Source organism: Homo sapiens, chromosome 2 (genome assembly GCF_000001405.40).
Source record: "Homo sapiens chromosome 2, GRCh38.p14 Primary Assembly".
In the NCBI taxonomy this organism is placed as follows: Eukaryota; Metazoa; Chordata; class Mammalia; order Primates; family Hominidae; genus Homo; species Homo sapiens.
The window spans coordinates 98,311,347-98,324,202 of NC_000002.12; the positions used below are offsets into that span (position 1 = coordinate 98,311,347).

The window sequence follows — 12,856 nt, forward strand, 5'->3', positions numbered from 1 at the left end:
AATCATACCATTTTGGACATTTGGAAAAATGTTTCCGATAGTATACCTTGGAGTCATTACAGAAACACAGGGTGTGAAAGAATATCTCTGATGTACAAGCTCCAATACAGGGATGAACTGGGCTGTGATGGGGCCAAGCTCATCTCCCTGGGGCGGACACAGGTCTATGCTGAGGAGTTTCCAGGGGCTTTTGGGCTGGGAGTTGTTCCTTCACTGGCTTGGTCAGGACGGGTCCGTATACTCAAGTTCTCCGTGCCGTGGGAGGCTCCCAAACACCAAAGGCTCGTGGAAATGAACTGAGTGGACCTAAGCCCAGCCTAAAGCATTGGGTTCACAGCGCTCCAGAGACTCCTTTCCATGGGAAGAGGGACGTGGGCAAGGAGCTGAGAAGCAGCCGTGGGGATGGCTTGGACATCTCTGTAGACCCCGCAGCCATCAAGGCAGGGTAACCCTGATCTCTCTCTGTCTCTAGAGAGGATGTGGAGGCGAGGAACTCTGCTTTCCTCTTCTGGCCACTGAAAGAAGCGGACACGCAGGATTCCAGAGAGCCAAGACGAGAGAAGCCCAGGAGGAAAAAGAGGCCCGCCAAGCAGCCACTCCAGCAGGCGGCGCCCTCGGACTCGGACGGCTCCTCCCACGGCATCAGCTCCCATGGGTCCTGCCAGGGGACACACCCCGAGCCCAGGGTTTGGGTGATGGGGGGGGAACACAACATCGCTTATCTCAGGAACACCCTGAAATCCCTTTCAAGAATAGTACACCTAACATCGTCCTTCAGATTCTGGGCCTGTTTAGGCTCCAGTGCAGCAAAGACCCTAACATCCTTAAGTAATGCTGAACTCTGCTTCCCCAGACAGCCCACCTCCACTTCCCCGCGGCCGGGCGTCTAGGACTCAGCAGCCACGCCATCATTGCCACACCTCCACCTCGAGCAGCCCTGCCCTGTACTCTCCAAGCCACCCACAGCAGCAAAGGGCTGAGGAGCGTCCCTGAGACACTTTAAGGCCGTCTGGTGGCAGCTATGTTTAAGAGACCAGCGTCCTTCCAGGCTGTTCAGACCTCAGCGTTGACACTGAAACTGGCCCCTCCGCGGAGGTAAGGCCGCCCTCCGCGCCGCCTATGCCTGCCCTGTCTGTAGCAAAGACTCCTCTCCCCTCCATCCCTGCTGCCTCCCCTACCCGTTTGACGACTTGGTTCTGGCTTTTTCTGACTGTTCTTTATCCTGTTTTCCCCCTGCACTCACAAAATTGTATTCCATCTTCTGGTAGACGCCCCACCCCCAGAAGTTTTAACCTGAAGGATGACTGTCACAGGACTTTCAAATTGTTTAGCAGTCAGCATAGTCAGGATCCAAGCCCGCAATCTTGTTTTAAATTAATTATCACATCTAAATTAGAGAATTTGTCACCCAATATTAGGACTGAAATTCAGACTCGGTAACTTGTCTGAGATCTGCAAGACTGAACATCCCCTACTGTATAGTTTCCTGACATTTTCATTTAGCCTTTCCTAATTATTTTTGTCTATAGTCTGTTGTAGGTAACTCTAATTGAGCCCGAAACCAGAATAAAAACTCTTACATTGGAAACATTTCAAAACCATTGGATTGTTGGATTATTTGTTACCATTTTTCTCTGAACACATTTTAGCAATGACATATGAAAGTATTCAGTTGTGTTTACTAACTTCAAAAATGAAATCGCTCCATCAAATTTCGTTTTTCTAGTCGGTAAGATCCCTGAGGCTAGATGAAAATAGAGCACAGGTCATCACTAGGGAAAATATTGGATGCTTTTTGCAAACAGAACAGATAGGGCTGAGTTCTGATACTCTAAAAATTTACAATCTAATTAAAAGTGGCATTCACATTCCTGAAAGCTAGGAGTAGCCAGGGTTATGGTGAAGAAATTAAAGAACTAATCCACTTCTAAAAATATGAAAAAAAAAAAATAAGGGACATGCGCTCAGCATCAGGCTAAAAACAATAATGCAGTGAGGAAGGAACTGAAGAGTGAGGGAATTGTTTGAAACAAGGCAAGGAACAGTGCTTGTGGGAGGCAGAGTACCTCCCAGAACTCAGACGTTTCCTCCCAGCAGGAAGGCTCTGGAGCAGTCTCCGCTAATGAGAGTTGTGTCCTGGAAGGAAGGAAGGGTATGAGGGTCTGAAGGAAGCAAGGTGTCTGGTCTGGAGAACTAGTGGAGCAGTTTAGAAACCACCCAGTCATAGGCATTGGTTCATTTATTCATACGTGCATGCATGTGAGCCTGCGTACATTCATTCAATTATTCAACAAGCAATTTGAGTGCTGACAGCCTGCCAGGCTCCAGAGAGATGCCAGCAGACTTGGAAGGTGGTTATCTTCCCTCTGTACCCATCTCGCTCTCTTCGTCTCCACTTTCTCATTGGAACAATCACTGGTGTCTGGTGGTGGGGTATGAGCAGAGACAAATGACTACAGGGCAAATATATACAATGCTAGTTGCATTGGTGTTACATTGCAGTGCACAAGGCCATCATTTGATGTGTTCAATGATAGTGCCTACTTCAGTGTAATGGAGGAAGTTGCAATTACAACGGTGAACTTCCACCTCCAACCAATACAGAATGGCAGCAACTAGAATTACACTCCCACCAAAACAACTAACACACCTGCTAAAATATATGTAACAACAGTTTCCAAAACACTGGGCGTCAGGTGATAAGGACAGTGCTCTTTGAGAGATAAATGTGATGAGCCCTGTGCATTTCCCAGTCGCTTCCTGGAGATATTTCCAGGCTGCAGCATAGGGAGGGGGAACCCAAACACAGCCCGGCAGCCTCTGTGAGCTGAGGAGATGGAAATGGAATTCTGAGGACACCAAGGTAGCTGGAGTTTACCAGGGTCAGGGCTGGTGAGCAGAGAGCTACAGAGAGAAAGCTCGCTGGAGACCTGCGGAGTGGCCCTCTTCAGTCTTCAGCTAATAAGTGCATGGCTGTGAGGAAATTACTGAAGACCAGAGAAAGGACCACTCAAAGTGATTACAAGGAACAATTCCTATGGTTTACACAGGGCTGGGAATATTTCCTGTTTCCTTCAACCAAAGTGGAAAATATTATTCATGGGGCATCGGATAAAGTATTCAGGAGTTTGTCTCAATAGTGGAGCAAAACTGGCATTTGACTAAATGTTTCCGTGGTCCCAGCCTAACAAAGCTGAAAAGCAAGCCTGGGAAGGATCAAACCTGTTTCCAAATACCTGTGTCCCAGAACAAAGATCAAGGATATTTATAGGGATACAAAAATATCCATCATCCAACAAGGTACAATTTACAATGTCTGACATCCAATCAAAGACTGGCCTAAAGACAGGCATGAAAAACAGCAAGAAAATAACCCATAATAAAGAGAAAAGCTGGCCGGACTTGGTGGCTCACGCCTGTTATCCCAGCACTTTGGGAGGCCGAGGTGGGTGGATCACCTGAGCTCAGGAGTTCAAGACCAGCCTGGCCAACATGGTGAAACCCTGTCTCTACTAAAAATACAAAAATTAGCTGGGTGTGGTGGCTTGCACCTGTAATCCCAGTTACTTGGGAGGAGAGGCTGAGGCAAAAGAATCGCTTGAACCCAGGAGGTTACTCCGGAGCAAGAGTCCATCTCAAAAAAAAAAAAAGAAAAAAAAGAGAAGCCAATTGGAATCAGCTCCGGAATGACACAGACAATGAAAAGTACCAGAAATGGCAACTGATGGTATATATATGAAAGACTTTCTTTTCTTACCATTTAAATCTCCTTTAAAGATAATTGGCTTTATAGAGTAATGTCGATAGTACATTAATGCATTTTCATAAATCCTTGAACATGCACCTGGATGCATTCATTGCCTCAGATGATTTGCACATTTGATTTTTTTGCTGAATAAATCTGTACTTTTAGCATATACCAGAAGTAATAAAAGGGGTTCAATCTGTTAAACACACTCACAGACACACACAATAATAATAGTGATGATAATAATAATACCTATGTATCTAGATTTTATGGCCACCCTATATAATAGGCCAGGATCACAAGCCAGGGGCAGTGGGTGATTGCTATAGGGATGGAGTGATTGAAAACCAGATGTAAACTATGTGGAATGGGTACAAGGTGAATCCTTGAAACAGAAGGATGTTCTTCAGAAGAAAGGGAACAGATATTCAAAAAGAGACTGGATCACCAATTAAGTGATGTAAAAAAGATTCCATACTTCAAGTGAGAGTCATCTACATACTTCTAAGCTCCTTTCCAACTCTAGGAGTCTACAGCTCAATGACACAGTCTATTGCCAACTCAGAGCATTTCCACATAGATGAAAAACTGTCCTTATAAAAGGTGGATGGGTTGTAGCCAACAAAACTAGACAAGAGAAATCAATTAGAGGAATAATAATTGGAAAAGAAGGAAAATGATGTTTGCACATGATAAAAGACAACACCTGAAAATTCTGAATCAATAACACTAATCCAAACAAAAGAATTCAGTGAGACGAAGGATATAAATTTAATACACAGAAATCGATATACACAAATCATGATCGATTAGAAGATATGTTGATAGTGAAAAACCTCATTTACAATGACAACAAAGAAACTAAAATGCAGTTGATTCTCACTATTCATGTAGTTACGTTCTATACAGTGGCATCTAACACTGAATACTGAATCATTTTTCCTAGGAGACACACAAGATTAGGTTCCTGCAGGCCGCTGGTCACCATATTTTCATCAACTAATCAATATGTAACTTTGTTTTTGTGTGTTTCTGTTCAAAGGTATCTTAATATATATTGCTGACTCATTAACATACTCATGCCCAACCCTATAAGCATGTTTACAGTAGGAGAGCTAAAACAAGAAGGCAGTAGGCAGATTTTTTCACTTCTTTGAGCATGCACCTGTCTGCAAACATGCCTTGAGCATTGATTTTGAGGTTACAAATAAGTTTTAGCAGTGATATGGTTTCCACCCCAAAATCACATGTCAAATTATAATTTCTGGCTGGGCGCGGTGGCTCATGCCTGTAATTCCAGCACTTTGGGAGGCCAAAACTGGTGGATCATTTGAGCTCAGAAGTTCAAGACCAGCCTGGGCAACATGGCAAAACCCTGTCTCTGCCAAAAATACAAAAAAATTGCTGGGTGTGGTGACACACGCCTGTAGTCTCAGCTACTTGGGGTGGGGCTGAAGTGGGAGAATGGCTTGAACCCGTGAGGCAGAGGTTGCAGTGAGCCAAGATCATGCCACTGTACCCCAGCGTGGGCAACAAAGTGAAACTCTGTCTCAAAAAAAAAAAAAAAAAAAGTGTAATCCCCAATGTTTGAGGAGGGCCTGGTGGGAGGGTGATTAGATCATGGGGGTGGAGTTCTCATTAATGCTTTAGTACCATCCCTCCTGGGTACTGTATAGTGACTGAGTTCTTAGGAGATCGGTTGTTTAAAATATGTAGCACCTCCCCTCCCCTCTCTTCCTTCTGCTCTGGCCTTGTAAGTACTGGCTCCTTCTTCACCTTCCACCATAATTGGAAGCTTCCTGAGGCCTCCCCAGAAGCAGATGCTGCCATGCTTCCTGTACATCCTGCGGAACCATGAGCCAATTAAACCTCTTTTCTTTATAAATTACCCAGTCTCTAGTATTTCTTTATCACAATGTGAGAATGGACTAATATAAGCAGGTAGGTGAATTCACAAATATGGAACCTGTAAATAGTGAGCATGGACTGTACCTAGAATAAACTTAACAAGAAATGTGCAAAACCAATGCATGAAAAGCTTTGAAACACTCTTGAAAGATACAAAAGTAGACTGGAACATCCTTTGTTTTAGATAGGATGACTGAACATCATGAAGATGATAGTTCCCCCTGAGTTCATGTATTACTATAACACAATCCAAGTAAAAACAACAGCAAACGTTTTATGAGGCTTGAAAAGTTTATAGTAAAGTGGTAAACCAAAAATAAAATTCTAAACCCCCCCCAGCCATCTGAGTGGCCTTCCTCCTAGGCCAGAGCACTCTAAAGTTTAACGTGAAAGACTGGTTCAGGCCCTGAGGGGAAGTGGGGGTCGGAGGTGCCTCATTATACCCTCCAGCATTAACATCAACACAGACCTTAAGCCTGATAAGAAACATTTACAATCTATTCTCTCTGAAGCCTGCTACCTGGAGGCTTCATCAGCATGATAAAACTTTGGTCTCAACAACCTCTTATGGTAACCCAGACATTCCCTTCCCTTGATAATAAGTCTTTCAACCAATTGCCAATCAGAAAAATTTCAAATCTACCTATAACCTGGTAGCCCCCACTTTGAATTGTCCTGCCTTTCTGGAACGAACCATTCTATATCTTAAAGGTATTTAATTGATGTCTCATGTCTCCCTAAAATGTATAAAATCAAGCTGAACCCTGACCACCTTAGGCACATGTCCTCAGGATCTCCTGAGGGCTGTGTCACGGGCCATGGTCACTCATATTTGGCTCAGAATAAATCTCTACAAATATTTTACAGAGTTTAACTCTTTTTGTCAACAAAGTTCATATGGAAAAAGAAATGTGAGTAGCTAAGAAAATTCTGAAAAATAAAGCTATGGGGAGGAACTTATGTTAGCATATTAAACACTATGATATCTGTATGGTTAAAATAGTGTGGCACCAATGAGATATCATCTCACACCAGTCAGAATGGCTATTATTAAAAGTAAAGAAAATAACAGATGCTGGTGAGGTTGTGGAGAAAAAGGAATGCTTTTACACAGTTGGTGGGAGTGTAAATTAGTTCAACCATTGTGGAAGACTGTGTGGCAATTCCTCAAAGACCTAAAGACAGAAATACAATTTGACCCAGCAATCCCATTACTCGCTTTATACCCAAAGAAATATAAATTTTTTATTATAAATACACATGTATGTGTATGTTTATTTCAGTACTATTCACAATAGCAAAGACATGGAATTAACCCAAATGCCCATCAATGATAGACTGGATAAAGAAAATATGGTACATATACACCATGGAATACTATGCAGCCATAAAAAAGAATGAGATAATGTCCTTTACAGGGACATAGATGAAACTGGAGGCCATTGTCCTCAGCAAACTAACACAGGAACAGAAAACCAAATACTGCATGTTCTCACTTATAAGTGGGAACTAAATGATGAGAACACATGGACACATGGTGGAGGGAACAAAACACACTGTGGCGTATCAGAGGGTTGAAGAGTGAGAGGAGGGAGAGAAACAGAAAAAATAACTAATGGATACTAAACTTAATACCTGGGTGATGAAATAATCTGTATAACCAATCCCCATGAAACACATTTACCTATGTAACAAACCTGCACATGTACCCCTGAACTTAAAAGTTAAAAAAATAATAGTGTGGTACTATCACAAGGAAAGGCAAATGGACTAGGTGTCCAAAAAAGACATAATATATATTATTTATCTATCATCTATCTGTCAGTCTATCTACCTATCTATATATCTGCAATTGTCCCTCAGTACTTAAGAGATTGGTTCCAGCAACCCCTTGGATACCAAAATCTGAGAATGCTCAAGCCCTGCAGTTGGCCCTGTGGAACCCATGGATATGAAAAGTCAGCCCTCCATATTTATGGGTTCCACATCCCACGAATAGTGTAATTTGCAATCCACAGTTGGTTGAATCCACAGATGAAGAACCTGAGGATACAGAGGACTGGCTATATTTGGAAATGTTGTATATTATAAAGGTGGCATCTCAAATCACTGAAACTTTAATAACAGGTACTAGGACAATGGATAGCCATTGGAAAACAATAAAATTAGATCCATGCCTCACACCACATACAAGAATAAACTCCAAATGGATAAAAGAAAAAAAAAAAGCAGACAGGTACTAGAAGAAAACATGAGTGAATTCTAACTCAAATTCCAGGTGCAATAAAATGTTGCTAACCTTGACTAGATAAAAATGCATTTTTAAAAATATATTTCCAAAGACAACATAAAGAAAGTCAAAAGACAAATGACAAATGGAGAGAAAGTATTTGCACTAAATAGCAGACAAAGGGCTGGAGTCTGTAAAATACAAAGAACTCTTTAAAATTCAATGAAAAAACTGACCAAAGACCTGGCAGAAAAATAGGCAAAAGACAATGAACTATCTATAAAGCTGTAAGAATGGATCTAAAAATATGAAAAGATGTTTAACTTCACTCATGATAAGAGAAAAACAAATTAAAACTAGACTTAGGCCAGACACAGTGACTCACATTTATAATCCCAACACTTTGGGAGTCTGAGATGGGTGGATAAAATGAGGCTAGGAGTTCAAGACCCATCTAGACAGCAAGGCAAAACCTCATCTCTACTAAAAATATAAAAATTAGCCATGCATGGTGGTGCATGCCTGTAATCCTAGCTACTTGGGAGGCTGAGGCATGAGAATGGCTTGAACCTGGTAGGCAGAGGTTGCAATGAGCCTAGATCACGCCACTGCACTCCAACCTGGGTGACAGAGTGAGACTCCATCACACACACACACACACACACACACACACACACTCACACAACAAAACAAAAAAACTACATTTAGAGAACTGTCAATAATGTGCCAATATGAAGTAATCATGCAAATACTTTTACAGGTAACAATTTTAAGATCTCGATATGGTTTGGCTGTGTCCCCACCCAAATCTCATCTTGAATTGTAACTCCCATAATTCCCATGTGTCATGGGAGGGGCCAAGTGGGAGGTAATTGAATCATGGGGCTGGTCTTTCCCATGCTATTCTTGTGATAGTAACAAGTCTCATGAGAGCTGATGGTTTCATGAAGGGGCAGTCCCCTGCACACACTCTCTTGCCTGCCACCAAGTAAGTCATGGCTTTCCTCCTCCTTTACCTTCCACCGTGATTGTGAGGCTTCCCCAGCTATGTGGAACTGTGAGTCCATTAAATCGCTTTTCTTTCTAAATTAGCCAGTCTCGGGTATGTCTTTATTAGCAGCATGAGAACAGACTAATACAGTAAATTGGTGCCAGGAGTGGGGTGCTGCTGTAAAGATACCAGAAAATATGGAGGCAACTTTGGAACTGGATAACAGGCAGAGGTTGGAACAGTTTGGAGGACTCAGAAAAAGACAGGAAAATGTTGGAAAGTTTGGAACTTCCTAGAGACTCATTGAATGGCTTTGACTAAAATGCTGACAGTGATATGGACAATAAAGTCCAGGCTGTGGTGGACTCAGATGGAGATGAGGAAATTGTTGGGAACTGTAGTAAAGGTTGCCTTTGCTATGCAAAGAGACTGGCAGCATTTTGCCTCTGCTCTAGAGATCTGTGGAACTTTGAAATTGAGAGAGATGATTTAGGGTATCTGGTGGAAGAAATTTCTAAGCAGCAAAGCACTCAAGAGGTGACAGAGCGTAGAAGTTCGGAAAATTTGCAGCCCAATGATGCAATAGGAGAGAAAACGCCATTTTCTGGGGAGAAATTCCAGCCAACTGCAGAAATATGCATAAGTAATGAGGAGCCAAATGCTAATCACCAAGACAATGGGGAAAATGTCTCCAGGCCCTGTCAGAGACCTTCATGGCAGCCCCTCCCATCACAGGCCTAGAGGCGTAGGACGGAAAAAATGGTTTTGTGGACTGGGCCCAGGACACCTCTGCTCTATGCAGCCTTCAAACAGGGTGCTCTGCATCCCAGCTGTTTCAGCTTCAGCCATGAGGTCAGTGTACAGCTCAGGCTGTTGCTTCAGAGGATGCAAGCACCAAACCTTTGCAGCTTACAAGTGGTGTTGGGCCTGTGGGTGCAAAGAAGTCAAGAACTGAAGTTTTGGAACCTCTGCCTAGATTTCGGAGGATGTTTGGAAATGCCTGGATGCCCAGGCAGAAGTTTGCTTCAGGGATGGGGCCCTCATGGAGAACCTCTGCTAGGGCAGTGCAGAAGGAAAATGTGGGGTCAGATCCCCCACACAGAGTCCCTACTGAGGCATTGCCTAGTGGAGCTGTGAGAAGAGGGCCACTGTTCTCCAGATCCCAGAATGGTAGGTCCACCAACAGCTTGCACCATGCACCTGGAAAAGCCACTGACACTCAATACCAGCCATAAAAGCAACCAGAAATGGGGCTGTACTCTGAAAAGTCCCCCTTGTGGCAGAGCTGCCCAAGGCCGGGGAAGCTTATCTCTTGCATCAGCATGACCTGGATGTGAGACGTGGAGTGAAAAGACATCATTTCAGAGCTTTAAGATGTGACTGCCCTAACTCCTTCATTTTGGCCAATTTCTCTCATTTGGAATGGTTGTATTAATAACTTGCTTTTGATTATACAGGCTCTCAGGCAGAATGGACTTGCCTTGTGTCAGATGAGACTTTGGACTGTGGACTTCTGAGTTAATGCTGAAATGAGTTAAGACTTTGGGGTACTGTTGGGAAAGCATGATTGGTTTTGATATGTAAAGACATGAGATTTGGGAGGGGCTAGTGGTGGAATGATATGGTTTGGCTGTGTCCCCATCCAAATCTCATCTTGAATTTTAGCTCCCATAATTCCCACATGTCATGGGAGGGACCCAGTGGGAGGTAATTGAATCATGGGGGCAGGTCTTTCCCATGCTGTTCTTGTGATAGGGATAAGTCTCATGAGAGCTGATGATTTCATAAAGGGGAGTTCCCTGCACATGCTCTCTTGCCTGCTTCCATGTAAGTCATGCCTTTTTTCCTCCCTTGCCTTCTGCCATGATTGTGAGGCCTCCCCAGCCATGTGGAACTGTGAGTCCATTACACTTCTTTCCTTTCTGAGAACAAACTAATAAGACCTGGATAAATTTTTTTAAGTTACCTCTATTTAAAGGCACAATAAAATGCTCAAGAACAGAGAGAAGCTGCTGGAGAGTTTATTCTTTAAAACTGCAAATGGAGAAGGAAAGAATTGTGAGTTTGTGACATTCTGGCCTGAGGGCACTCCCCAACTTTCAGGGTCAAGGCAACAAAAAACTATAGCCTAACTGGCTCAAGGTGCCAGAAATAAGAGTTCAGGGCTAGAAAAAAAGTGGAAGTTTAAAGAAAAACGCTCAGCATCAAGAAACTACAGTAAGAGTGAATCATAAAACCTAAGTATGAACTTTGCCCTGATTCCTAGCTAGCCCCTAAATTAGGCATGTACAAGAGAGAACCCAGGGAACTCTGTGAAAAAATTAGGCAGAAACTAGAGAGGAATCTACTGTTCAGAAACAAAGCTGCACAGGGAAAGGTCTGTGTGTTTGCTGCTTTTTAACTGAAATGCATTTGCAAGCCATGTGCAGCTTGGGCAGCAGTAATCTAATGTCTTATGGGCTTAAAGTACCAGGGGACAGAACCCAAGTCTAGAAAAACAGATGGAAATTTAAGCAAGGGAACCACTAAAAGAGTGAGCCCTCAAAGCTGCCCAAATCCCTGGATGACCACTATATTATGTAGGCATAGGGAAAACACCCAAGGTGCCAGGATAAAAGCAGCAATTTGAAGCCATAAGAACAGACTAGAGATGTGAACTCCTTCATATTACAAGAGAAAAAAGTTTGCAGTTTGAGTCCAGGCAAGTTGACTGCCTACTAGAATTGAAAATAAAAAATTAAGTGTACGAAAAACAACCACACACACACACACAAGAAAAACCCTTAAGAACACAACAGAATCCAGAATCACTAGAATATATTGCCTGCAGTCCAATTTTGAACCAAAATTTAGTAGGCATGCAAAGAAACAGGAAAATGTATTCTATTCTTATGATAAAAGACAAACATTCAATAAAAATTTTGATTTATTCCAGTTGTTGTATAGCAGACATCAAAGTAGCTACTATAAAAGAAAGAGTATCAATGAAGAAATGGGTAATCTCAATACAGAAATGAAGGTATTAAAATGCCAGTGGAAAATTCGAGAGCTAAAAGTTACTACATAAAGTACACTAAATAGACTGAGCAGCAAAATGGAAAAGGCAGAAGAATTATTGAATTTGAATATAGATTGATAAAATTTACTCAATCCAAAAAAACAAATAAAAAGGGAAAGAATATTGAAAAAAGTTAACAGAACCTCAGAGACCCATGGAATAATTTCAGGCATTTCAAATTATGTATAATTGGAGACCTAGAAGAGGAGGAGATAGAAAAAGAGAAAGAAAAAAAAAATCACTGGAGACAAAATAACTGAAAACTTCCAAAATGTGGTAGAAAATGTTAATAGATTCGAGAAGCCTAAGGAACCTCAAAACATGATAAACATAAAGAAATTACTCCTACACACATCATAGTCAGACTGCTAACAAGGAAATATTGAAACCAGAGAAAAGAACCACATATTACAGTCAGAGGAAGATTGACATGATTACAGATGACTTCTCAACAAAAGCTATAGGCACTGGAGGATATTGGAATGGCATAGTGCAAAAAGAAAAGAATTTAAGAACCTATCAGCAAAGAATTGTATATGCAGTAAAACTAGCCTTCAAAATGAAGGTGAGAGGAGTTCCACTTCCAGTATATTCAAATAAATTCTTAAGAAAGACCCTCCACCAAAGTAAGCAGATTCTGATGTGGTGAGCATCCTGTTATTACATATTTTAGCTTAAGGGCAGGCTAAGAAAAGACATGGTAAGTACCACACGTGGAGGCTTAAACTCTGAATGAAGACTTACAGTCTTTCTGGCTTGAAAAACCAGAAAACAGAGTTTGGGAAAACTACAGCTCTTAGAGTATACAGAGAGAATAACAGCAAGGAAAGATCCAAAGACAAGGAGCCATAGATTTTGTGCATAAACTTGGCCCACGTCTCTGACACTTTTTTTTTTTTTAGACTAAATCTTGCTCTGTCA

General features: G+C 42.1%; 1 protein-coding gene across 15 annotated transcripts in view, besides 1 other annotated feature; it reads left to right on the forward strand.

Moving 5' to 3' along the window:
- VWA3B (von Willebrand factor A domain containing 3B) overlaps positions 1 to 12,856 on the forward strand; it is a 243,450-nt gene that overhangs the window by 224,180 nt on the left and 6,414 nt on the right. For 8 of the 15 annotated variants that reach the window (XM_005263897.3, XM_011510771.3, XM_047443640.1 and 5 more), the window contains one exon: positions 473 to 985. In XM_005263897.3, coding sequence (XP_005263954.1) covers positions 473 to 890 — 418 coding nt within the window. In that variant the 3' untranslated portion in view covers positions 891 to 985. Of the gene's footprint in view, positions 1 to 472; positions 1,954 to 12,856 lie in introns of those variants that run through there. The other 7 variants (NR_144296.2, NM_144992.5, XM_011510772.2 and 4 more) reach the window with 3 other exon arrangements.
- Positions 5,784 to 6,520: an enhancer, noted in NCBI's record as "NANOG hESC enhancer chr2:98933593-98934329 (GRCh37/hg19 assembly coordinates)". NCBI's record gives its function as "activates a minimal SCP1, AML or CMV promoter by ChIP-STARR-seq in naive H9 embryonic stem cells {active_cell/tissue: H9 hESC(naive)}" and the evidence as "EXISTENCE:reporter gene assay evidence [ECO:0000049][PMID:30033119]".